We start from the raw sequence: 23,635 nt of genomic DNA, 5'->3' as shown, positions 1-23,635 counted from the left end.
AAAAAAAAATAAACAAGGTTGTATTTACATTTGGATGAGCATAAACCCTCAGAAGCCTGTTCCTAGTTTTCCAAAAATCAGAAAGCCAAAACTTCTCTCCATCACAGGGCACCGCAGGAATGGAAAAGCAAAATGTTGATAGATACGTACTCCAGTCAGGTGAGAACAGAGGAGGGAGCGGACCAGGAAAGCCGGATTATGGGGCAGCACAGAGGATCCAGTTGAAGGTGGAGCCCATGAACTTCTAGTGACACCAGTCAGCAAATGTCCTGGAAATGACTGGAGAATCTCTTACTCTAATTGGGCTGTTTAACACATCAGGACTTCAGTAATAAGAATCTTACTTCATCCCTCCTGTGAACACTTAAAGCTGAAAGAAACAAACATCCAGCACAGACTAAAAGAAAAATACAAAAACATAGCCATTTTATGGGACTTATTGGACCTTCAAATGTATAAAATCTAAAGCAAAGTTGTAGCCTTTTGGCACCACCCTCATTTGAGCCTTATGCATTTGTTGGAAGTTCCCAATCTTGTATTTATAGGTGCATAAGATGATGTTAGTATTACTAGATTTATTTGAAGTTAGATAAACATAAACCCTCAAAAACCTGTTCAGAGTTGTCCTAAATCAAATTTTTAAATGCCCTCTATCACTGTGTAGTGAGGTAACAGGGATACAAAATATTGACATTAATTTCATTCCCAATGGCAAAAGCAGGTTCTTATTTTTCTTTATCTGAAATGCTTGACTGCTCCATTTATACCACCATGCTCATAGCCACTCACCCCCACTCTGTTCCAATAAGTCAATATTCTCCTCTTCCCATAAGTCCCCTAACATCTCTGCAGAGCCCCCCAGTGCCTTTATTGCAGACACACGGGCAATGGAATGTGCCCTCCAGAATCCAGTGTAGCTCTACAAGGCAGGGTTACACCTGCTCTCCAGCCACACCCTGCCTAGCCCAGGGCTGACCTAAATATAGAGCTCAGTAGACATGCTGAAGGTCCTCACAACCATCTGGTGGGAAATGCTGGATCCCTACCTCACTCTACATACCCCCAAAATTCCAGCTACACCAATGTCAGAGACATGTGAGCCAGAGCAACTCCATCTTGAATAGGAGCTGGGTAAAATAAGACTGAAACCTATTGGGCTGCATCAAATTAAGGCTTTCTAAGTCACAGAATGAGCTAAGAGGTCAGCATAAGATACAGATCATAAAGATCTTGCTGATAAAACAGGTTGCAATAAAGAAGCTGGCCAAAACTCACCAAAACCAAGATGGCCACGAGAGTGACCTCTGGTCATCCTCACTGCTTACACTCCCACGAGTGCCATGACAGTTCACAAATGCCATGCCAATGTCAGAAAGTTACCCTATATGGTCTAAAAAGGGAGGCATGAATAATCCACCCCTTGTTTAGCATATCATCAAGAAATAACCAAAAAAATGGACAACCAGCACCCTCAGGGCTGCTCTGTCTATGGAGTAGCCATTCTTTTATTCCTTTAATTTCTTAATAAACTTGCTTTTGCTTTGCACTGTGGAATCGTCCTGAATTTTTTCTTGTGTGAGATCCAAGAACCCTCTCTTGGGGTCTGGATCGGGACCCCTTTCCTGTAACACCAAGATTTAAAATGGAAAAATAAAGCTATAAGAGTACCAGGAGGGGAAAAGATTGAAGAATTTTTTCATAACCTCAAAAAAGTGGAAAAGGCCTTTCTAAATTTTTCCATAAAATTCAGAAGCTATAATATCAAATATTAAATGCATTTGACTACATAAAAAATAAAAGTTTCTGTATACCTCAAAACATCATAGGTAAGATCAAAAGAAATTGTACTTTACATGACAAACTAAGGACTAATTTATTCCCTGAATAAAGAGCTACTATAAATCAATAAAAAAAATTAAAGGCAAAGGATTGGAATACCCACAGAAAAGGAAAAAACAAATGACTTAGATTATAAATAGGCACTATACTATTCATAATAAAAAAGATGTAAATTTAAGCAGATCAAAATATTTAACAAATTGTGTTGGCAAGTATTTATAGAAACAGGCACATTCTTGCTTTGCTGGTGGGAATATGAATTATTGTAACCTTTTGCAATTTGACAATAATCACTAAAATTTAAAGTACACATATTGTTGGAACCAGAAATTGACTTCTGGGTATTTATCCCATAAATATATTCCCACAGATGAAAATGCATCTTTGTAATAGCAAAAGATTAAACATAACTAAATGTCCCATGGTGGAAGATTAAGACAATATTATTAAATATTGAGATGGGAAGATCTCCAAGACATGGTTAAGGGGAAAATAGTATGGTTCAGAACAGTGTATAGAGTATGCGATCACCTGTATTAAAAAATATATACACATATCCTTATATATGCATATGATTGTAAATATGCAACATACCCCTATAAGTATATATAAGAAACGAGTAACAGTGATTGGGAAAGGAATAAGATGGCTGGAAAATAAAAGAAAGAAGGATATTTGTATTCAACATATTGTATGTGCACATTTTGAATTTTTTAACAGCTGCTAACAAGTTAAAAATATCAATATCCAGCAAATTAAATGAAGATACCGCCAACTCACATACACATAAAGCTCACTTAACAGTATACAACTGTGGGAAGACTGATCAATGATCAGTTGAAATCACCTCCGAAAGTTTTTCTCTAAATATGAATTCTGGGCTGGGCACAGTGGCTCACGTCTGTAATCTCAGCACTTTGGAAGGCCGAGTCGGGCAGATCCCCTGAGGTCAGGAGTTCAAGACAAGCCTGGCCAACATGGTGAAGCCTTGTCTCTACTAAAAATACAAAACTTAGCTAGGCATGGTGCCTCATGCCTATAGTCCCAGCTACTCGGGAGTTTGAGGCAAGAGGATCGCTGGAACCCAGGAGGTGGAGGTTGCAGTGAGCCAAGATCAAGCCATGGCACTCCAGCCTGGGCGACAGAGCCAGACTCCGTCTCAAAAAAGAAAAAATAAATAAATAAATATGAATTCTGGATGAACGCTTAACATTCTTGTGTGCACAGAAAGCACACATACAGTGGTAACAGCACCATTGCTCCTGCGGAGAGGAACAGAACAATTCAAATCACTGATGTATGAACCTAGGAGCTTCTTTGCAGGCCATGATTATGTGATTCTGGCTTAGTTCCCATCTTAATTAACTGCTATTTTAAAAAATAATTTGTAATGATATCATTAGAAAAATTAAAATAAAGAAAAAAGTCCCTAAATGGTCCTGAGTCAAACTTGAGCTCTGGCCCCACTCAAGAAGAGAGAAAGCGAAAATGGCCTCTGAGATAAGTTTGAGTCTGGTTAAAAGCTTGCTCCTAAAACCATATTTAGACCCTTGGTGTACTGTTTGTCATCAAAGAAATCTGGCACATTATGTAGAAGAGAAGGATTAATGTGACTACCAAGTAAACCTAACAGTGAAATCCAGCCATGTTACTCAAGTTGATGAATGATTTGGAGTGCTGGTACGCTATTGTAAAACACAGTTGACTGTTTACAAGACAGAGCAATTTCTTTTCTTACATTTTCTCCTCCAGCATTTCTGAGCAATTATATTAGGAAGTGGCTGTTTACCCTGGCAGCTGGGCTCCGTATCTCCACCACTGGAGAGGCAATTCCCCGGGCTACAAATACCCGGAGAGCTGACTCATTACATAAAAAGGAAGTTCTGTTTGGTAAAAGAGTTTAAAGAACACACTTTAAAACGTGCATTAAACACTAGTGTTAATCATTGCCAGAAAGGACGAGTAGGCCACAGGCGAGTTGGTGAACTTAAACCCAAACTTATTTTGATAAAATTTGGTACCTTGAACTCTAGATCTTTTATGAAAACTGAGGTTGTAGGCCCAGCACTAACAAGAGTGTCAGGAACTTTCCATTTCCATTATAATTCTAATAAATTTATTAATATTTTAATGTGATAAGTATGACACTTCTCTTTGTTTCCTCATCTAAAACAATAAGCCTGGCATACTTACCTATATTAGGGGTGATGATGAAATTCAGTTAACTATGCCTAACACCGTATAATCCCTGGCGTGGATAGTTCGAAAAATAAATATCTTTTTCTTAATTGTAGGCAAAAATGAGAAAATAGAAAATATCTATTAATAGTTTCATCTATCATAAAATTTTATAGCCATAAAAGATATCTAAGGGGAGTGTATATTCAGGGCAACTTGAATCTATGCTACCTGATTGCAATATATATCTATATGTCTAGCAACTATACTCACAAATACATATGTAGTAATTTTTTCCCAAATTGCTTGTACATTTCCTTTCTTTTCTATCATAAGACAGGAAAAAAAATTATCTCTGGACAATTCCCAAAGTGGATGCATTTTTTTCTTGTCTGGGCACACAGCCAATAGAGATTAAACTAGGAAGGGAATTGATATGACCGTGGGTGAGTATATTAACCCCTCTGGATGCCAGTTTTCTTCTCTGTAAAATAAAAACTGGACTAATAAGTGGTTTTCAAACCTCAGTATATTTTAGAGTTACCTAGGAAAGCAGATCTTGGCCATCAGGTTAGGATCTGTGCATTGGTATTTATTTTTACAAACTCCCAAGATATTCTGATGTACACCAAAGTTAGAAAATTCCTAAATCCAAGCATTCCTAAAGTCACTTCTGGCTCTAACAATCATCAATCTTTTTTAAAACATACCTTCTTTGCATATATAGAAAAAATTTTTTAAGTGTAAAACTGCAATTATATACATACTTTGGGGACATTTTTTCTCTTTTCTATTTTTGTGTGGCTTGCCCTCCTGCTGATACTCCCATGGGCCCCACGGTAACAATCTATCAGTGATCTTCATAAAGCACGCAGGGGCCTTCCTGGTCCCTTATTCTAGATTTGGGATGCTGAATCCCAAACTTCAAATGTATTTTTTTCATCTAACTGAAAATATCAATTATGTGCAAATCCTCTGTTTCCTCTCATTCTGTCTCCCTTACCACCATCCAGATAACCTCGTTCCAACTGATTCTGCACAATCACGATTGTCTGCCTCAGTGTCTCCAGGGTGAGCTCAATGCTTGGTGGGCACTTAGGAATTGTTTGTTGACTGACTAACTGGCTTTGGAAAGGGAGAAACTCAATCTTTTCTGCTGATTGTTTGCTGACTCTTAGTGGGAGGTTATCTTTACTAGGATATCTTTACTAGGAGTAAGAATATCAGAGATGCATGGAAGCAAAAAAGCAGTCGAAAGCCAGAACCCAAGTCTTCCATGAGTCCACTGAACTCTCTCAATTCACAGGCAAATGAGACTCTGAAATTGGACATTGCATATATAAAAATAAAAGGAAGAAATAATGGTTTCCTCCAAAATAGGTAAATAGAGACCTACCAAATAACACACACCAATCCAAATAAATACCATGTGGAATTTGATAAAAATTGTTATGCTTAGTCTATTTGATTATATTTGTTAAATTTTCAAAGAAATTGGATCAAGTAGAGAAACTGAATGTATTGTATGGTGTTCTATTTGAATAGTAACAAGAATAATAAAGCTAATTTGTAATTTGGAACAGGCAAAAAATTAATAAAATTTTGCTCATGGGTGGAAATCTTCATGAGACTGAAATTTCATTCATTTGCTCATGGAACCAAGCATGGGGAAAAATGTTCCCAATGAATCACTATGGATGAGAAGCTGAGATATGATTTACCACCTCACCTCCCCATACAATACATTAATGGTTCCCTGCATGTTTTACTTTATGTTCATCCAAAACACCCAGATTAATAACCAAGCACAAGAGTGTATATAACATCACATTGCCCATCTCTGAGGTGCCAGGAAGGATCGTGCCAAAACCGTCAGGAAAATGGATTGTGCTGCCTCCCTTGGCAATACAAACCAGTGTGTAATAACCCTCTTAGTCAGTTTACCCTTCTGTTGCCATTAATGTAGATTACAAACTTAACTAAGAATGCAGCAAAAGATCCAAAGATCAAAAAGAGCATGGATGACTACACACCCTCAAATCTATAAAAAAAAATTAATACAGAGCATACACATCAACCTGTTCTTAAAAACACTCTCAGAGCTGTCACATGTGCTAGATAGTTCTCCACAGAGAAGACCTTGGTCTTCAGGATGTCAGGCAAACCTCCTGACTCAAGCACTGAAATAAACACAAATCACCATTATGAAGTCAAATCTATAAACAAGCTTGGAAACCAATCCAAAATCCCTCAGATCCACACCTATACACTCAGTGACTCATGTCTATGAGCCATGGTGACCATGCCCAGGGTTGGGGTCAGAAGAATCAGGGGAAGTGCAATAGCAAGGGGACTCTTCCACAGCCTTTTTTGAGGGTTCTTCAGTCCTGGCTAACTCTGCATTCCATTTATGATGCCTATGAGGAATACAAGAGGAGCTTCAAATAAGCACTGGGTATATGAGCCTGGAGCTCACCGAAGTCAGAGGGGGATGGACATGTGGGAGTTTTTAGCATGTGGGTAACCATAGCAAAGCCTTGCAAATTAATAAGGGCCCCTTTAAATAAAAAAAATTTCCATTATAATTTTGGCCAGCCTTCCCAAAATAGACTTTCTGCATTATTATGACAATATTTTAATTTTGAAATTTTCATAAGATTTACTCTGTTGCAAATTAGCTGTTAAAACTTACGCAAGTCATTTAATTAAATTATTAGGCTCTTAGTTTCTTCATCTGACAAGCTTAGATAAATAATAATTATAAACTCTAACTTCAAACGTTAATCTGAGGATCCAATGAGAAGACAGATAGAAAAGCACTTAGAAGATTTAAAACATTATCCAAATGAGACGTTTTATTTCTATTAGGGTTTTTAAATTTTTTAATTTTGAAATTTGTCATAAGATTTACTTTGTCAATTCCTCCTAACAGTGTCGATTTCTCCTAAGCTTGCCTTTCAGTCTTGGTGTTTGGCCTTTGGGACCAGTCCTCTCCTTCCACCTTTCACGCCCTGTCTGGTCCACATCTGTATGAACTACACTCAGCTGGTCGATGTTACTTTCCTACCCAACCTGCTCCTAGAGGAAAGTCAGGGCTCACAGAGGCTCCCTCCAAATGCACAGCCATCAAGGAGAAACAATATTTGTCACCTTGGGCTGCCATAACAAAATACAGACTGGGTGACTTAACCAACAGAAATTTATTTCTCACCATTCTGGAGGCTGAAAGTCTGAGATCAGGAAGCCAGTATGGTCGGTTTCTGATGATGCTTCTCTTCCTGGCTTGTGGGCAGCTGCCTTTATGCTGTGTGCTCACATGACCTTTGTGTAAGAGAAAGCGTGAGAGAGCTCAAGCACTCATGTCAGGACCCCACCTTTATAACCTCATTTAACCTTAATCATTACTTTATAGGCTCTATCTCCAAATTCAGTTTCATTGTGGGTTAGGGGTTCAACATATGAATTTTGGAGAGACACAATTCAGCCCATAGCAGACAATGCAGACAATGAGAATACTCTAAAGCTAATCCCAGAAACAAAAGTGACCTGAGGAGATTTTATTTAATCCAATATGAATTTGCTCTTACCTTCCACTCTTTATTTCACCTGCAGGGTCTTTCTCATGAAAGTGGGATGAGGGTATGCAGTATTCTCTTCACAAAATGCAGTCGCATTTTAGAAATAGAATTACTTGCAAATTCAGACAAAAGCCTTGGAAAGGTACTCCCCAAACTATAAACAATAAAGAGTTCCCAGGTGGAATTGGTAGAAAGATGGGGGAGACGGGGGGTTGCTATTATGGTGTTTTCTATTCTACATACTTTATATTATCCATTTTTATATCATGAGACTGGACATGTATTACTTTGCAATTGAAAAGAAAAATAAACTATGAATGGAAAAAATAAATTGAACTAAAATGCTGACATTTAAGGAAATGTGTTGTGAATATCAAGTCTAAGGAATAAAAAAGTTGACTTTTAGCATGCTCTTTAAGCAACTCTGAATCACACTCCTGAATTCTCCTACTTGTTTTTTCTATGATTTTAAGCTGGAAATAGATTCCTTAAAAACTTTAATAAACTATTCATTGTTAATAACAACACACAAAAAGTTGAAAATCTTTAGAAATAAGCTTGCCTTTTTAAATTATATCTCTTATTTCTTTGCATATTATTTTAAAGAATCTAATCTAAACTTGTATTTTTTTAAAGACTTGGCAAAGCATAAGATTATTGTCAAATTATTTAAGAATACCTATTTAAAATTATTTAAGAATACCTATTTAAAATAATATTTTATGTGTTGTGGCTATTTTACATTATTCTAAGTCATGTAATCACACATGACATGAAAATTAATGAAGAGGGGTAGATTGAGAAACAACTCATCTGGCTCATCCGTGGATCTCTGATCAGGTGATCCCTCTGTCACCAAGGGTAACTCATTTTTTCCTGACTAGAGAACAGTCGGTTTCCCTATATGTAAAATAGGGACTGTGAGAATTTAGAAAAATTTGTCCTCAGCAGAGTACGTCCTTGAAAAACTTTGACTGCTCAAGAGAGTCCTATACGTAGTAGGCATTCAATAAATATATAGTAAATAAATAAAATTGGTAAAATTACTAGCCACACTTACAGACAAATGACATATTTAACAATTAACCTTCTAAAAATTGTAACAGCTAAAAAGATACTCTTTCAAAGACCCAGATTTATTCTTAATTGTACTTTTTTTGCTAGATTCAAGAAGGATTGGGAGGATGGAAATCAACTCTTAGATTATCAGAGCAGGCAGAAAAGAATCAGGAACATCTTCATAAGCAAAAATCCAATGAATGCTTTTTAATTGAATTAAACAGTCTGGAGTTGTTTAAATAATTTCATTTATTTTAATGTTCCACTATTAAACACTGAAAAAAGTGCAGCCACTGCTCCTCAGGACGAAATAGATTTCTCCTACCCTTTGAACTCAGCCAACTTTCTCCCAGTATATTTTTAGTCTGCACAGGAAATACTAAAGACTAAGGAAGTTGGAATGTGACTGACCTTTTACCTGTAATGATACCAGCAATGCCAACATTCGCCACCAGTGACGTGGGGATAGAGATGACAGGAACTCTTTGCTACGGAACTGAACAGCTTCTTTTCACTTGAGTTGATATCTATCCCTGTAGTTTTGCAATGTCCTATAATTACTTTAGACATCACCCATTTTAAAACAGGGTATGCCACACTTTATAATCCACTCCACTTAAAAGAAACCGTAAGAGGCCGGGCACAGTGGCTCACACCTGTAATCCTAGCACTTTGGGAGGCCAAGGCGGGTGGATCACGAGGTCAAGAGATCAAGACCATCCTGGCCAACATGATGAAACCCTGTCTCTACTAAAAATACAAAAATTAGCTGAGCATAGTGGCGCACGCCTGTAGTCCCAGCTACTCAGGAGGCCGAGGCAGGAAAATTGATTGAACCCGGGAGGCGGAGGTTGCAGTGAGCCGAGATCACACCACTGCACTCCAGCCTGGTGACAGAGCGAGACTCCATCTCCAAAAAAAAAAAGGAACCATAAGAATACTATCATAATGCTGTTACCCTTGACTGAAGATCCAAACAGATTGGTGAAATGAGGCTCTAGGAAGATTATCTGCAGTATATGCAGCCAGATCGTTCTCTATACTTTAACATGGGGCCTCCCTGTGCAAGGTATCTTGTGAGGGTAGCCTGAGTAAAATGTCTAAATCATTAAAATGTCTGGTCATTTAACATGAAGCAATTTATCAACACTTTGGTCACTAACACTTAACAGTGCAGCATAATTATGCTTTCAAAGCCTTTCACACTCAGACATTAAATAACTTTGGTCCCAGTTCATAGAAAACTTTATAAAATATTTCCTTCCTTCATAGTTGTAAACCAACAAAAGATGACGACATCATCTTCCTTTATTCTCATTTAATTGTATGAATCAGAATCAGGCTTTTCATTCATACCAGGTAATAAGTATCCAAAGGCACCTACAGACATTGTGCACATATTAATTGAGAAACATAAATTTTTCTATTACTCCAAAGTTTCCTTGACGGGATTCAGAGGTAGCAATCACCAAGTTCTGCTGAGAACACCTCCCAAACTGCTTGTCTCCCCTCCCAGAGCCACTGCTCCTGTGGTCTAAGCTACCACCATTGCTTGCCTAAATTACTGCAACTGCCCACTAACCATCCCTCCTCTAATGTATTCTCCATTTCACCAGAGACAGCTTCCTGAAAGGCAAATCTGATAATGCCTCTCCCCAACTTAATATCCTTCCATAGATTTCCATTGTTCCAAAACAGAATGCTGATTCTTGAAGATGGTAAAAATGATTGCACCCCTGCTGCTTTCTCTAGTCTTACTCCTCTATTGTTAAACCATGGAGGGCTCTCACTTCCTTTATTTAGCATTCACAAAAAAAAAAAAATTTACCTTCAAGTGGTAGTTTTTGTAATAATAGAGATGTTGCTACTTTTATATTATTATACAGAAAAAGCGATTCTTATCAAACTTAACAGTCCCTAGCCAGCCAATCATTTTTGTGAAAGAGACAAGAATGTGGCAAACAGGCATGATATTTTAAGTAACTAAATGATATTATAATATAGTATCTGTATTTTTTTAATTTTTAATATGTACCAAACATATATATGTACTTCCCATTTATTAAATCTCATCTAATTCTTCCAGTAGCCCTTTGAAGTGGGTAACATACCACCTCCATTTAACGATGAGATGAGTGCTGGAACTATGGATTTGTTCACTCAATTTCCATTCATTCTCACTGGTGAGGTTGCAAAGACAAAAACAACATTTTCAAGATCTCCCTGCAGCTAGAGTCCTGGAAGGAATTTGGGTCCCAAAAGGTGGATACACACAAGTGTGGCATGAAGATATAGAAGGCAGACACCACCTTCCTATCCCTTCTTGGCTATTTCTGCTGACAAACAGGGTAAGGCTCCTAGCACCACGTCCCAGGACCCAGTGTTCAGAAGCCATGGCAACAATAGTAGCAGCATTAGGTTCTTGACCCTGGCATAGCTCCATTGCTGGTCTCAGAGTTGGTAGCTCCCCTGGTCGGCCAGTTTTGTAAAATATCTTTCCGTTTCAAATACTTAAAGTTGTTTATCTTTTCTTATATTGAACCTGAGAGTGTGCAGAAGCCTATATGCTCATTAGACTACAGTTAAGCTGCTGAAACAAAGACACTCAAAAAATAGAGTGGCTTAAATAAGACAGAAATTTATGCTTCTTTATGTAACAATACAGAAGTGGGTGGTATCACAGACGTGGAGTGGCTGTATTGTCATCAATATGCAACATCTCTCTTTGGCCCAAGGCAACTCCAATTGTTTGCTATTTCTCAGCCAGTTGCAGAAAGGGAAGTGGAATAAATACCCAATGATGTTCCAATACTTAAAAAAAACTCCCATTCATGTACTACTGGCTATAACTGAGTCACAGAGCAATCCCTAGTCACAAAGAAGGCTAAGAGAATATAGTCACTAGGTAGGTAACCATGCATCCTGCTAAAACTAGGTGGGTGGGGGGTGCATTTTGTTAGATAAAGAAAGCAAGAATGGTTACTAGGGTAAATTATCCACTTCTGCCATGTCTACCCCTCCTCCCAATATCTATGTACACACTTCTTTTTGCAAATAAACACCACAGTCACCCCTATCTTTGAGTAGGATTCTAATCTATTGGCTTCTATGTGAAAGTCAGAATAGCCAAAGTTTGTCCCTGGTCACAGTTTTTAAGCCAAGTCTTCTCTTTTATCTACTGGTCTCTGTGCTCAGCCTGTCTCTCTTTCCTTTCATTTAATGTTGGCTAACTTTAGTGGCAACCATGTGAAACAGGAAGGCAGCATCTTCAGTGTAATCTTTGCTCTGGACTGGCTTCAATTGTCCAGCTAACTGAAGGCACTGAATAGTTGGCAGTTGAATACTTAACAGAAGGCACATGGAAAAGGCCACCATCATCAAACTTATCTACTGCTGTTTGCAATACAAACAGATTTTCCAACTCTGCATGACTGAATCTTTCAAGCACATTAGATTACAAGCCATAGGTAATAAGAACCTCCCTTATCAGAGCTATATTCTCTTCTATCTTTGCTTGCTGGCTAATAATTCCATAACTTCCATTGCTTCTTATAATACATTGTTAAAAGTAGTGAGGACTAGCCAATATATATCTATATGCAAAGTTTTTCTCACTGAGCTAAAGGTCAGCAGGTGTATGGCATGTCTTCCAAGTTATGATAGGCAACTGTTTTAGCAAATTACGTATCACAGAATAACAAGTATTACCAATGTTTCTAGATCAAATTTCATGCCCATGTCACCCTCTGCCTGTTGCTATTCAATGACACAAAATTTAGCTTTTTGTTATGGCAACGCCCCACTTCTGGTTCAAATTTCTATATTAATTAGGGTATACGCTAAGGTCTTCTTTAAAAAAAAGACCCCCACCCCCACCCCAAAGTATCATGTCTTCATAACATAGAAATTTGTTTCTCTCTTACCTAACAATCCAGAGGTGAGCAGAGACTCTACTACAGATATGGGACTCATTTATGGACTCTCTTCAGCTGTTCTATTGTTATCATTTCCCAGCCAGCAGAAATTGTTTTTTAAAAGTAAAATCCAGAAAATGCCTACATTACTTCTTGTCACTTTCCATTGACAAGGACTTAGTCTTGTTGCTCCAAAGGATGCTGTGAAATATTATATCTAGTCAAGTAGCCATGTGCCTTGCTAATAGTCAGGAATTCTATTACTAAAAGAAGAAGAAAAGGGACACTGAGACATAATTAGCAACCTCTTCCACCATGAGAATTGGAGGATTACAACTGCATGACTCCAAATCTGAAAAGCAAAACTGCTTCCAAATGGTCTTCATTTATGTACAGAGTGTTAAGTCTCCCAGTATTGCTGTTTACTCTGCTGGTACATATTCTCTAGAAAAAGTTGTGATGTCTTTGTTTGTCATCATGTTTTAACGTAATCATTCACTTATTCTAGCAGTCATCATTTATTGAATGCATACTATGTGTCAGACATTTAGTTGTATAATAGGAATATAAAGATAATGAAGACAGAATGATCTGGGTTCATCATTCAGAGTTTCTTTTTATTTGGATTATTTATTTAGAAAATTTATCATTCTTTTCTGAACATTCCATAAAAAATAAAAATTTGCTTAAAAACAATTTCAAAGGAAAGCACACAAGGGAAAGGGTTTTATTTTTCACTCTCCTCAATTTTGTATTATTTACATCAATTTGCCTAACTAAAATTATACTTTGCTGTAAAATGTAGTGAATCATTTAAGGTACAAAAATCTTGATCTTGGCAATAAGAACAAGTTTTAACCTAATTACACCTACACACTCTTACTAATCAACTGCTATATTGATACCACTTTCCATCATTAAAATGAAACTGCAATATGCAAAATGCTTTTGTCCTCCACTGAGGGCCCCCAATTTGGAATCCTACTTCCTGTGGATCCAAAGCAACATCTGAATATTTCCCAAAAGAATCCAAAAGCAACGAGTACCTGTTGTATCATTCCATTTGTACAAAATGTAGACAAACAGGAGAAAGCTCATCTATGCTGTTAGAAGCAAGGATTGAGGTACCCCTGCTGGGGGCATGGAGGAGGCTTCTGGAATGCTGATAATGTTCTGTATGTATACATCAGGGTGCTGATTGCACAGGTGCATTCAGTTTGTAAATCCCATCAATACCCTATACTGAAAATTCTAGTAGTAGTTTTTCATTGTCCATACTATTTAGAAGGCATTTAAAGAAATCAATGGGGTGCTAAGCACTGTACAAGCCCCTGTGGAGGTTTCAAACAATATGTAATACATGTGCTTTTCCCTCAAAGAGGTACCTTTCTATTTTCCCATCAGAATAAGTCAGCTGTGATATGGGGGGGAAAGATTGAGAATCTTTGAGGAGTTCTGACACTGCATGTCCATGCATCAGTCCAGGCCGATAGTCACCGTCCTGATCTTTAACTTTCTGAGCTATGTCAGAACTCTAAGATCCTCTGCTCTATAATTCTCTTCTGGTCAAATAGTCATGGTTGTCATTTTGTTCTTTTAGTCTGAAGAAGTCTTTTTGGCACTAAGAATATCAAATTAGGTTGACACTGGAAACAAACGTGATTAAATCATAACAAATCTGTGTAGCTTTTTACCAAAAGACAGGGCCGTAGGACTGAAGAAGGCTGGGACCTGGCACCCTGACTGCTGGTTTATGTTCAATGCCCTGTCACTAGCTTGCATGGCCTTAAGCAAGGCTTATCATTTTTCTGGTCCTCAGTTTTGTTATTTGAAAGTCAAGAGGGCTGGGCTCCCTCCAAATCCCTTCAGTTCTAAATTTCTGTTTCTGAGTTAATTTGTTGAAAACTAAGAAGCAGCAGGACAAAGACTGGTTTTCTGGCTTAAGCCCAGTTTTCTTTCCACCGATATGTATGTTTAAAAAGCAACCTAAATTCAGATTTTAAAATTAATGTTGCCCAGTATGTGCTGGACACTACCATGTGAGGTAGGTATGTTACTCCTTTTTCAGATGAGGAACTGACCATCAGAAAGTTAAGAGACTTGCCCCAGTGTATGTGCCTGATTGATGCCAAAGGCAGAATAAAAAACTTGGTCCTTCTGGCTCCAGAACTTCCCTCTCCCACCAGGGCTTGTAATACATCCAAAAATCAACAAATAGCCCTAAAATAAATCCAATCCTAAAGCAAAAATAGTCTTTCTTTTTCTAGTTGCCTCCAGTTGAGAAAGAAAAACAAGAATTGGGAGTTTCACTTATAAAGATAAAATTTCATGTCATTTGTTAAATTTATAAAACTATATGCAGTTTGTAAAAGGTCTTGCAACGCCTCCAAGTCCCAGCATGTTTTAATACTTGACAAACGTGTTTTCGTTTGTGCTGCACTTCACATTTTATCTGAAGATCTCAATTCTTTGGGGGCATAAAAGACTTTAATGGGCATAGAGTCAAACATCAACAAGGATTTTCTGGGCTTTGCTTTAAAATTTTACTGCTAAATTAGAAAGGCTTACAGATAGAACACTCAACCTGCCATGACATCCTTTGTCGGGTGTCATATATGCTTTGCAGGAGTTGCCACCATGAAAACAACTGCAAGATGCAAAGGAAAATAGCTTTGCAGTGAGGTGCAATGAACAACACTCATAGTAAACTTAGAAACTTTTTTTTATGTTGTTTCAACCAGGCTGATGATTGTTTTAGAACAAGTCTCCTGCCATGGCCTGACACTTGATCCACAGAATTCCTTAAAAGACACTGGGCCAGGCAGACAGTAATATATCATATGCCTGACAAAGACACAAAACATCCTGGATATTGCCATAACTCTCAAGGAGTTGTTAGAGTGGCTAGAGGTCACTTAAGTACTTCTAAAAATACAATGGCATAGCCTTCCTGGGCTTATTTCTTTTAGACACTAGACCATCAATTAATATTTGAGAAACATGCATTATAAAAGTTTGCTCTGAGAAAAATTTACAATATTTAGTCAGTCTTTATCATGTGATTCCTCCGGGCTGAATCTCCCGTTCAATTTCTCTTCCCAGATTCTACCCTAAACTAAATACCGAGGTTTGGGGTTACCACTATATATAATGGGACTATTTTCTAAATCAAGGCTTATGACCCTGCATATTTGTTTTTTTCCTGTGGTTGTAAATTAACAGTATGTTCCCACTACACTTGTGTTCTCACGTATTCCTGTCCCCGCCCTGGCCCAGTGTACTGACCTTACTAAGTGCACAAATAGTGTCTCTTGGAAACTGCTTACATTCAATAGCACTTTCTAGTGTTCCATGTATCATTTGTTAAACATGCTTTTAGAATCTATCATGCCAGAGGCTAGGAGTTACTGATATAACATTAAACAAGTTGGACATAGTGCTGTCCCCACAGAACTGACCACCAGAGATATGACCAGGAGATATGACCAAAGAGATATGAACAGGAACCCTGGGAATACCAAACGGGAGGGAAATCAAGGGTGCAGCAGAAACAGAGTCCAGCAGAAGAGGAATGTTCTCCCATATACAGGAATCTAAATTCTACTTGATATTCTATCTCTTATAAGCACGTGTAGTTCACACCTCTATTTGGGATCCCTATAGAACACAGAGAAAGAGGGATGCTCTACTTCCCACTCATTTGCAAGCTTGCATTTAGGGAGCACTCACCATACAGTGAGTCTGATGTATGCTGTACATAGTAACAGTATACCCTGAGCCAGATGCTGTTTTAAGCCTTTTACATATATCTGTGAATTTTTTCATTTGATTCTTACAACCTCTCTATGAGGTAGTATACAGTAGTGTCTCTATTCTACAGATGACGAAACTGAAACACAGAGAAGCTGAGTAACTTGCCTGAGTTTACACAGCTACTAACTTAGCAGCAGCATTTAAACTCAGACAGCCTAGCTCCAGCCTGAGCTCTTTGGCCCTTCCTTCCATGCCTCTCTACCCCAGCACGTAGATAAGCAAGCACACCATGCCTCTCTTTCCTGCAGGAGCTCTCACTCCACTGGCAAAAGTGGGTATAAACACCTACACAGTGTACAGGGGCTATACTGGAAATATGAATCACATGACTGCAACTCACAAAACAAACTTCAGAAGACATAGTCCACAACACTTATACAAAACAGAACCTATTCTCCATAACAGAAATGGCTACCACTTATTAAGTGCCCCCCGCAAGGTACCTGGCACTTCATTTAAATTATCTCATTGCCTTCTCATAACAACCATGCAAGGGGCATAGTATCACTTCATCTTACATAAGAGGAAACTGAGGCTAAAAGAAATTGTGTGACCTCTTTTAGCTGAAGCTGAGGTCCTTTCCCTATTTATGTAGTCTCCTTAAAACACAATGCTTTGTCCTTACTCCTAAAAAGTGACACCAATGTCAGGTAACTTCATAACTTCTCTTTGATGTAGAAAGTAAGGGGAAGTGTTTCTGTTCAGGCAGTTACCAGATTCACTTCCCAAACTCTGCAACAGGAAGCTGGTGCAAACACACCAAAACATCATGCTCACAGCAGCCTGACTGCTTAGAAACCTCCAGCTCCAGATTATACCCTCCAAGGCTGACGGAAGCACTGCTGAAGGCACTTGCAAGGTATAAGGGTGCCACAATGGAGCGCTCCATCCCAGAGGCGAGGGTGATCCCAGGGACAAAGTGTTTGAAGAGCTCAGCAAATCATAAGGGGGAGGAAGAGGAAGAAGAGGGGAGGGGAGGGACTGGGACAGGATCCTTCCATCAAAATTGTCCTTCAACAACAAAGGTTGCCTAACCCTTCCTGATCAACGCAACCTCCACTTTTGGCTAGAAAGTGTCCTGGAATGGAAAAGAGAACTTAAGACCAAGGATTTGTATCCAGGATTTTAGAAGAGGAAGAGAAGTACATTTTAGCCCTGAAGTGTGAGACGTATTGCTTCTAAGAATAGAAAAAAGATAAAAATTATAACTGTTTTTAAAACATATACTACAGTTTTATAATAACAGCTGCTTTCCTCCCTCCTCCATCCCCCTCCTGCATAGAAAACACACTAACTGTACTAGTTAAATCCACAGTAATAGGTCAACTTAATATTAGTTTTTACTTTTTTTTTTGAGACACAGTCTTGTTCTGTCACCCAAGCTGAAGTGTAGTAGAGCGATCCCAGCTCACTGTAACCTCCACTTGCCGGGTTCAAGCGATTCTCCTGCCTCAGCCTCCCAAGTAGCCGGAACCACAGGTGCACGCCACCATGCCCAGCTAATTTTTGTATTTTTAATAGAGATGGAGTTTTGCCAGGCTGGTCTCGATCTTGTTGCCTTATGTGATCTGCCCACCTCAGCCTCCCAACATGTTGAGATTACAGGCATGAGCCATTGCCCTCTCTGTAGGGGACAGAAAAGGAGCAAGTCGTTAGACTTTCCAAAGAGTAGAAAAAAGAAAAGAACATGGCAAAACAGCATTTGGTTATCAGCAGGAGCAATGACTCAAATACAAGCATAACAAAGGAAGGGATGTGTGGTTGAGTCAAGAAAGTAGTGACTTGTGTGAAAACCAAAGAGGAGTGAATATTGTTCCTTCTGACCAATGAATGTAGACAGTCAGCGTGCTCGGAGCCTCATGGCATCCTGCTTTCCCCTGGGGCTGCTAGGGGGATTAGGTAAATATAAACGTCTTCAAATAACACAAGATGTGAAAAATAGAAAGCACAGCAAACTGGAATAGTCATCAGATGATATATCTAGGAGAGCTTATTCTGCAAACTAGAATTACAGAATAGAGAGATGTGGTCAATTAAGAGTATTTAAAGATGAGTTTCTATGATGAGGGTAGGTGACAAGAGGGAGTTGTAATCCAGGACAAAGAATCAGAAGAGACCACCATTCTCCAAAGACCAGGTGATGATTTTAATAAACTGGCTCATGTACTATCACCCCAACAGCTAGTTTCTATATCAAAATTAGTTCAAGATTTCAACAGGAGGAAGTGGTTTACAAAAGAATTACCAAGAATCCAGAAGTGTTTAATGGAAAAAAAAATGCTAATGAGGTAAAAGTTGATTTGTGTACTATTTAGACTACGCATTTTTTTTAAAAGGGGGGTGTCCTACCAGCAGGTAGGACCGTTAAAAAAAAGACACTGCTGCAAAATTCCTACACTCCCAGAGTTCTTCATGGCCTGCGACACACTGTCATGAACCTATCTCCTAGACTAGAGCCTCATAGTTACCTACTTAGATAGTGCAGGAATTATGCTCATTTTACAGATGGGAAACTGAGGCACAGAGAAGTAAAACAATTTTTGAAGGGTCACACAGCTAGTAGGTGACAGAGTTAAGTCCACCCTAGAGACTGCATTTTAAATGAGTCACTTGGTGCAATCACAAAAACAATTATTCTATGATCTGGGGGTTTTTCCCTAATGATTATTGAGATATAAACACGTTGCATGACTTTTTTATTTTAATCCTCAGAAAAACACTTTGAGATTTGTAATATTGTCCTTTTGGCACCAGCATTTATTAGGCTCTGTAACTTTAACAGCATCACTTAAAGTGAGGCATCTACTTCAGTTTCCTCCTCTCTTATTTTAATCTTCAGTTATTTTAAGGATTCAACTCATTTATTCATGAAAAGCACTTGGAATAGCACCTGGTACATGGTAGGGTTCTGTTGGTGTAAGCTGTTATCATTACTGCTGTTGCCCTGACCTGGTCAAAAACCTGAACTGTAGACATTCCCTTATTACCACACTAAGTCATCAATTTCTTTCTAGTGTTTACAATGTGCTTCAAAACAAATTAGTTTGCCAAATATAAAAGAAATACACCTAAATGAAAATATATGCCTTTAAATTAATGAAATGTAATTGTCGCTAGAACAGCGACTGGCACAAATTATTAGGTCATTGAATATTTCATAAGTGTATTAACAAATGAATGGGCAGCCGAGTAAAGGAATAAACGATCAAAAGTTCAAACAAGAAAGTGAATAACTAGTGGCTGGGCGCGGTGGCTCACAACTGTAATCCTAGCACTTTGGGAGGCCGAGGCAGGTGGACTGCCTGAGCTTAGGAGTTCAAGACCAGCCTGGGCAACATGGTGAAACCCCATCTCTACTAAAATACAAAAAATTAGTTGGGCATGGTGGCATGTGCCTGTAGTCCCAGCTACTCAGGAGGTTGAGGCAGGAGAATTGCTTGAACCGGGGAGGCAGAGGTTGCAGTGAGCAGAGATCGCACCACTGCACTCCAGCCTGGGCAACAGAGTGAGAATCCGTCTCCAAATAAAAAAGAATATGTAACAAACAAAATTATGAAAGCAAACAAAATTATGAAACTTAAATTAATCTGCAGAGCCTGGGAATAAATAAATAAAAAAGGAATAAAATGGAAAGCAACATTTTTTTATTTTCTAAGAATTGTTTTTCAATATTTCACTTAATTCACTGTAAACCATGTCTCTATTAAATGCAATTAACGTTTTTCAAAAGTAAGCAGTATGAAGTCACATAAAAAGCTAATAAAATCAACATCCAATCATAAGAGACCCTCACTGAAATCTTATTCAAAATTGAGGAAGTCTATAGTCACGTTTTTATTTCATCCTTAATTTCCCACGCTTTTCAAAGAGCCATATTATAACTCTTTCTCAAATATTTGGGAGGAAGTATTTTGATTGTGAAAATAGATGCTCCGAGAGTACCTAAGCCAAATAAATATTTACATTCTGCCTTTTTAGTTGAACAATTGACTTTGTTCTTTAGCATTTAGGTCAAAATACTTAAAAGTTTTAAAACATCAATAACAAGAGGATATGATTTTTCACCAGATAGTCTAAACTTACAGGTTTTAGCAAAACCTTCACAAGAAGGAATTGAGTAATTTAGAAATGTTAATGTACACACACCGTAAAAATAAAAAAAGGGGGTTGGGGTGTTGGCCACTTATTCTTTTTAACTAAAAAAAAGTCTCTCTTCCTCTTCCCTGTGTTTATGTAGTTAAGCCTTGGTGAGCATTTACAACCACTTACATCATTATAATGATAACCTCAATCTGCTGACTTTATGTAGGATTTATATCAAAAGAGTCTTGGAGCTTAGTATGCCTTATTTCATTTTCAGAGCATCCTTGTACATCACCATGTGACCAGTATCTTATCTGTATCATACAAAATTAAAACCAGATGTACTAGGAGACAAAGCAGCTTTCTCAAAGGAGATAAAGTCACATAATTATCAACTTAATGAAACTTGGCTTCAAACTCATGTCTTCTCTTAATACAGCCAAGTTTTTCCCCACTAGATTATTCTTCCTTTATATAAATTTAAGAAGTCATGGTGGCAGCTGAGCAGAAAGAACTGACTACCTGGAAAAACTCCAAGATTTTTTTGAGCTTGGGTTAACCTGACCCAGCAGAAGCTCTGAGACTTGGAAGAGAGGGAAGCAAGGCTATAAGAACTATTCATGTTTTTTGACACTGAGGAACACGTAAATTACTGATAACAGGTCAGCAAAATGAAAGTGTAAAAAAAGTGAGAAACATCAGTGTTTCATAATCAACTTTCATCATGGGCTTCACTGGAAACTCTTCTTCCAACTCTGAGCTGCATATCAAGCCTTGGAGCAAACACTCCTTCCATCTGAACTCTCCCTTGAGTTGTAGGAACTGCTCCTGTGGGTGCTAGAAAACAAGATTCTCCTGAAGCTGACTTAGAGCAGGTGGCTTTGTGTGAGGAAGACTGCAGAGGTGTGTCAGGTGTGTCCAGTTGCACTGAATTGTTCACATTTTTGACACTGGAATTTTGCACATTCTTTGGAAATAAGCCGTTCATTTGGATTCCCACAGTCACCTCTCCCAAGCCTGACTTGAGCTGCCAAGACTGAGTCACCTTCTCTACTCAGTGGGTCATATTACTGGTGGCAGGTTCCACCTGTTTTAGTATTTGCTTGAAAACAAAAGTGATCTTTGAGAGTTGAGTGACAGGGGCTGCTGAGCAGGCTTCCAAACCAATTGTGGGAGAGATCAAGATAACCAGTCACCTACAAGAGGAATTATGAAGACAACTAAGCCAAAAGAGAGTGTTCCAATAGATACCTTTGTCCCAATATCTTTCTTGGGATTAACCAGTGTTGGGCAAGGTTATCAGTTTAAACAGAAGTAGGAGAGGAAGTAAGCTTAAATTGCAGCAGAAAGAATGCTGGTCTGATAGACTGGAGAACTTCAGAACATGTTGGAGGAAAAAGAGTAGATCTCTACATAGATCTCTAAAGTAGACACCTGGAAATATATCCATCACGAGCCTGTCCAATACTAAAATTATCTGGGAGGAAACAGGCTTCAGCCAAACGAAGCACCTTTGAGAGAAAATCCAACCCTTAAGTTCTCTCATCCCTGCCCTCTACGACACCCCACTAACACTTGTTTTGCAAATAAATTGCTATATTCCTGAATATAATGCCAGAAACCAATTTCTTCCAGCACAGCTTTTCACCCTACTTAGCTTCTCAAAAGCATCACCCCTTTCCTACCATCTCCCATCAGTGGATGAAGTGATAGTCCCACTTAATAACTATTTAAGCAGTGGGCAAAGTTCTGTTATGCTCTATCTTAACCTTGCAAATCCAAGAAAGGGTTGTCAGCTCTTATAGAAACAGGAAACCATGTCAGCGTGTGGTAGAGAGAGCAAGTAGTTAAAGAGAAGCTCAAAGCCAGGCAGGATGGTGTTCACCTGTAGTCCCCAGCTACTTGGAGGCAGTGGAGGGAAGATGGCTTGAGCCCAGGAGTTCCAAGTTGTAGTGCACTATCATCATGCCACTGCATCTGCACTCCAGCCTGGGTGACAGAATGAAACTCTGTGTCTAAAAGAAAAAAAAGAAGAAGAAGCTCAAAGGACCTGGGCCTTCATTTCATCCTTGCCACTTGCCATTTGTGTGGCCTTGTGTTAGTGACTCGACAGCTCTCTACCTGCTTTCTCCCTCATAAAAACCTACTAATGTCGGAATGTGGCACTTGGCAGATTGTCTCTCTTCCTCCTGCACCTGGAAGGCATCAATAATCAACATTTCCACGGGTCACTCGTGTTAAAGGTTTCATGTCATTCCCTAAGGACATTTTTATTTCTGGAATATGTATATTCTGATCATTATGAGCCCAGGAAAAATCCAAGAGATGGTCAAGGCCATCAAGTTCAACACTCAATTTGCTTAAAGTCAACCCTTTATAAGTCAGCCAACATAGTGTTAATAATATTCATATATATGTGTGTGTGTGTTTATGTTATTAACATTATGTTGGCTGACTTATAGAGGATTAACTTTAAATAAATGTATCTATGTATATCTGTATATGTATAAACATGTATATATGTATATACACACAGACACATACATAGCCATATATATATATATATCTGAAATCTAGCCTCTCACAAAATAATTCACTTTAAGAAACAAGAGTAATTTTGTGATTGAAAATTATTTCAATGTAGGAATCATCAGCGAAATCAGTTAAAATGTAGACTTGGGGTAATTGTGTAGCATATCAGTCTAAGTCTGAATAATCTGTTATTTTCTTGATACTTTTCTTCAACTGCAATAAGCACTGATATTTACATGATATTAAAATACCTGTCTTTAAACCAGAACATTAAATGCTATCCCAATTCAGCATTTCTCTAGTTGAGGAAGAGGAAGCTGAAGGAAGAGGAGGCTGAGTTTTCATTAGATAATATTTGTGGTCTTTTTTATGATTATTGTGCTTAATCATATTATTGCTACATTATTACTAAATTTTTGTCTTCTATAAAACTTTAAGATCATGAAATAGCCAGGAAGGATGCAGGGATTGCTCTATCTTCATCAGCAAATGGGAGGAATGGCACAGGAAAATCAAAGAGTTTATCATAAATCACAAATATAGGTTTCTAAGATAAAAAGAGAGAGCAGAATTCCTGATCCCAAGCATGAAATCGGCCTCTTTTCTGTAACACATGTTTGAAGCGATCTAGTGGCCTTT

The 23,635-nt window shown here is 38.3% G+C and overlaps 2 long non-coding RNA genes across 7 annotated transcripts in view, besides 2 other annotated features; one reads left to right on the top strand and one right to left on the bottom strand.

The window, feature by feature from the left end:
* The window catches only part of SLC38A4-AS1 (SLC38A4 antisense RNA 1), a 268,904-nt gene that overhangs the window by 175,089 nt on the left and 70,180 nt on the right, over positions 1-23,635 (bottom strand). For 2 of the 5 annotated variants that reach the window (NR_125379.1, NR_125380.1), the window contains exon 3: positions 7,229-7,338. The exons of 2 other annotated variants lie outside the window; for them this stretch is intronic. This is a non-coding gene — a long non-coding RNA (SLC38A4 antisense RNA 1). Of the gene's footprint in view, positions 1-7,228; positions 7,339-22,349; positions 22,480-23,635 lie in introns of all 5 variants that reach the window. One more of the 5 variants, NR_125378.1, reaches the window with a different exon arrangement.
* LOC124902923 (uncharacterized) overlaps positions 1-23,635 on the top strand; it is a 64,239-nt gene that overhangs the window by 16,980 nt on the left and 23,624 nt on the right. The gene's annotated exons all lie outside the window — the stretch shown is intronic.
* Positions 3,469-3,668: an enhancer, noted in NCBI's record as "active region_6249". NCBI's record gives its function as "activates an Ori minimal core promoter by ATAC-STARR-seq in GM12878 lymphoblastoid cells {active_cell/tissue: GM12878}" and the evidence as "EXISTENCE:reporter gene assay evidence [ECO:0000049][PMID:35858748]".
* Positions 6,984-7,033: a silencer, noted in NCBI's record as "silent region_4388". NCBI's record gives its function as "represses an Ori minimal core promoter by ATAC-STARR-seq in GM12878 lymphoblastoid cells {active_cell/tissue: GM12878}" and the evidence as "EXISTENCE:reporter gene assay evidence [ECO:0000049][PMID:35858748]".

This window comes from Homo sapiens, chromosome 12 (genome assembly GCF_000001405.40).
Source record: "Homo sapiens chromosome 12, GRCh38.p14 Primary Assembly".
Classification (NCBI taxonomy): Eukaryota; Metazoa; Chordata; class Mammalia; order Primates; family Hominidae; genus Homo; species Homo sapiens.
This window is presented reverse-complemented; position numbering and strand designations above follow the sequence as displayed.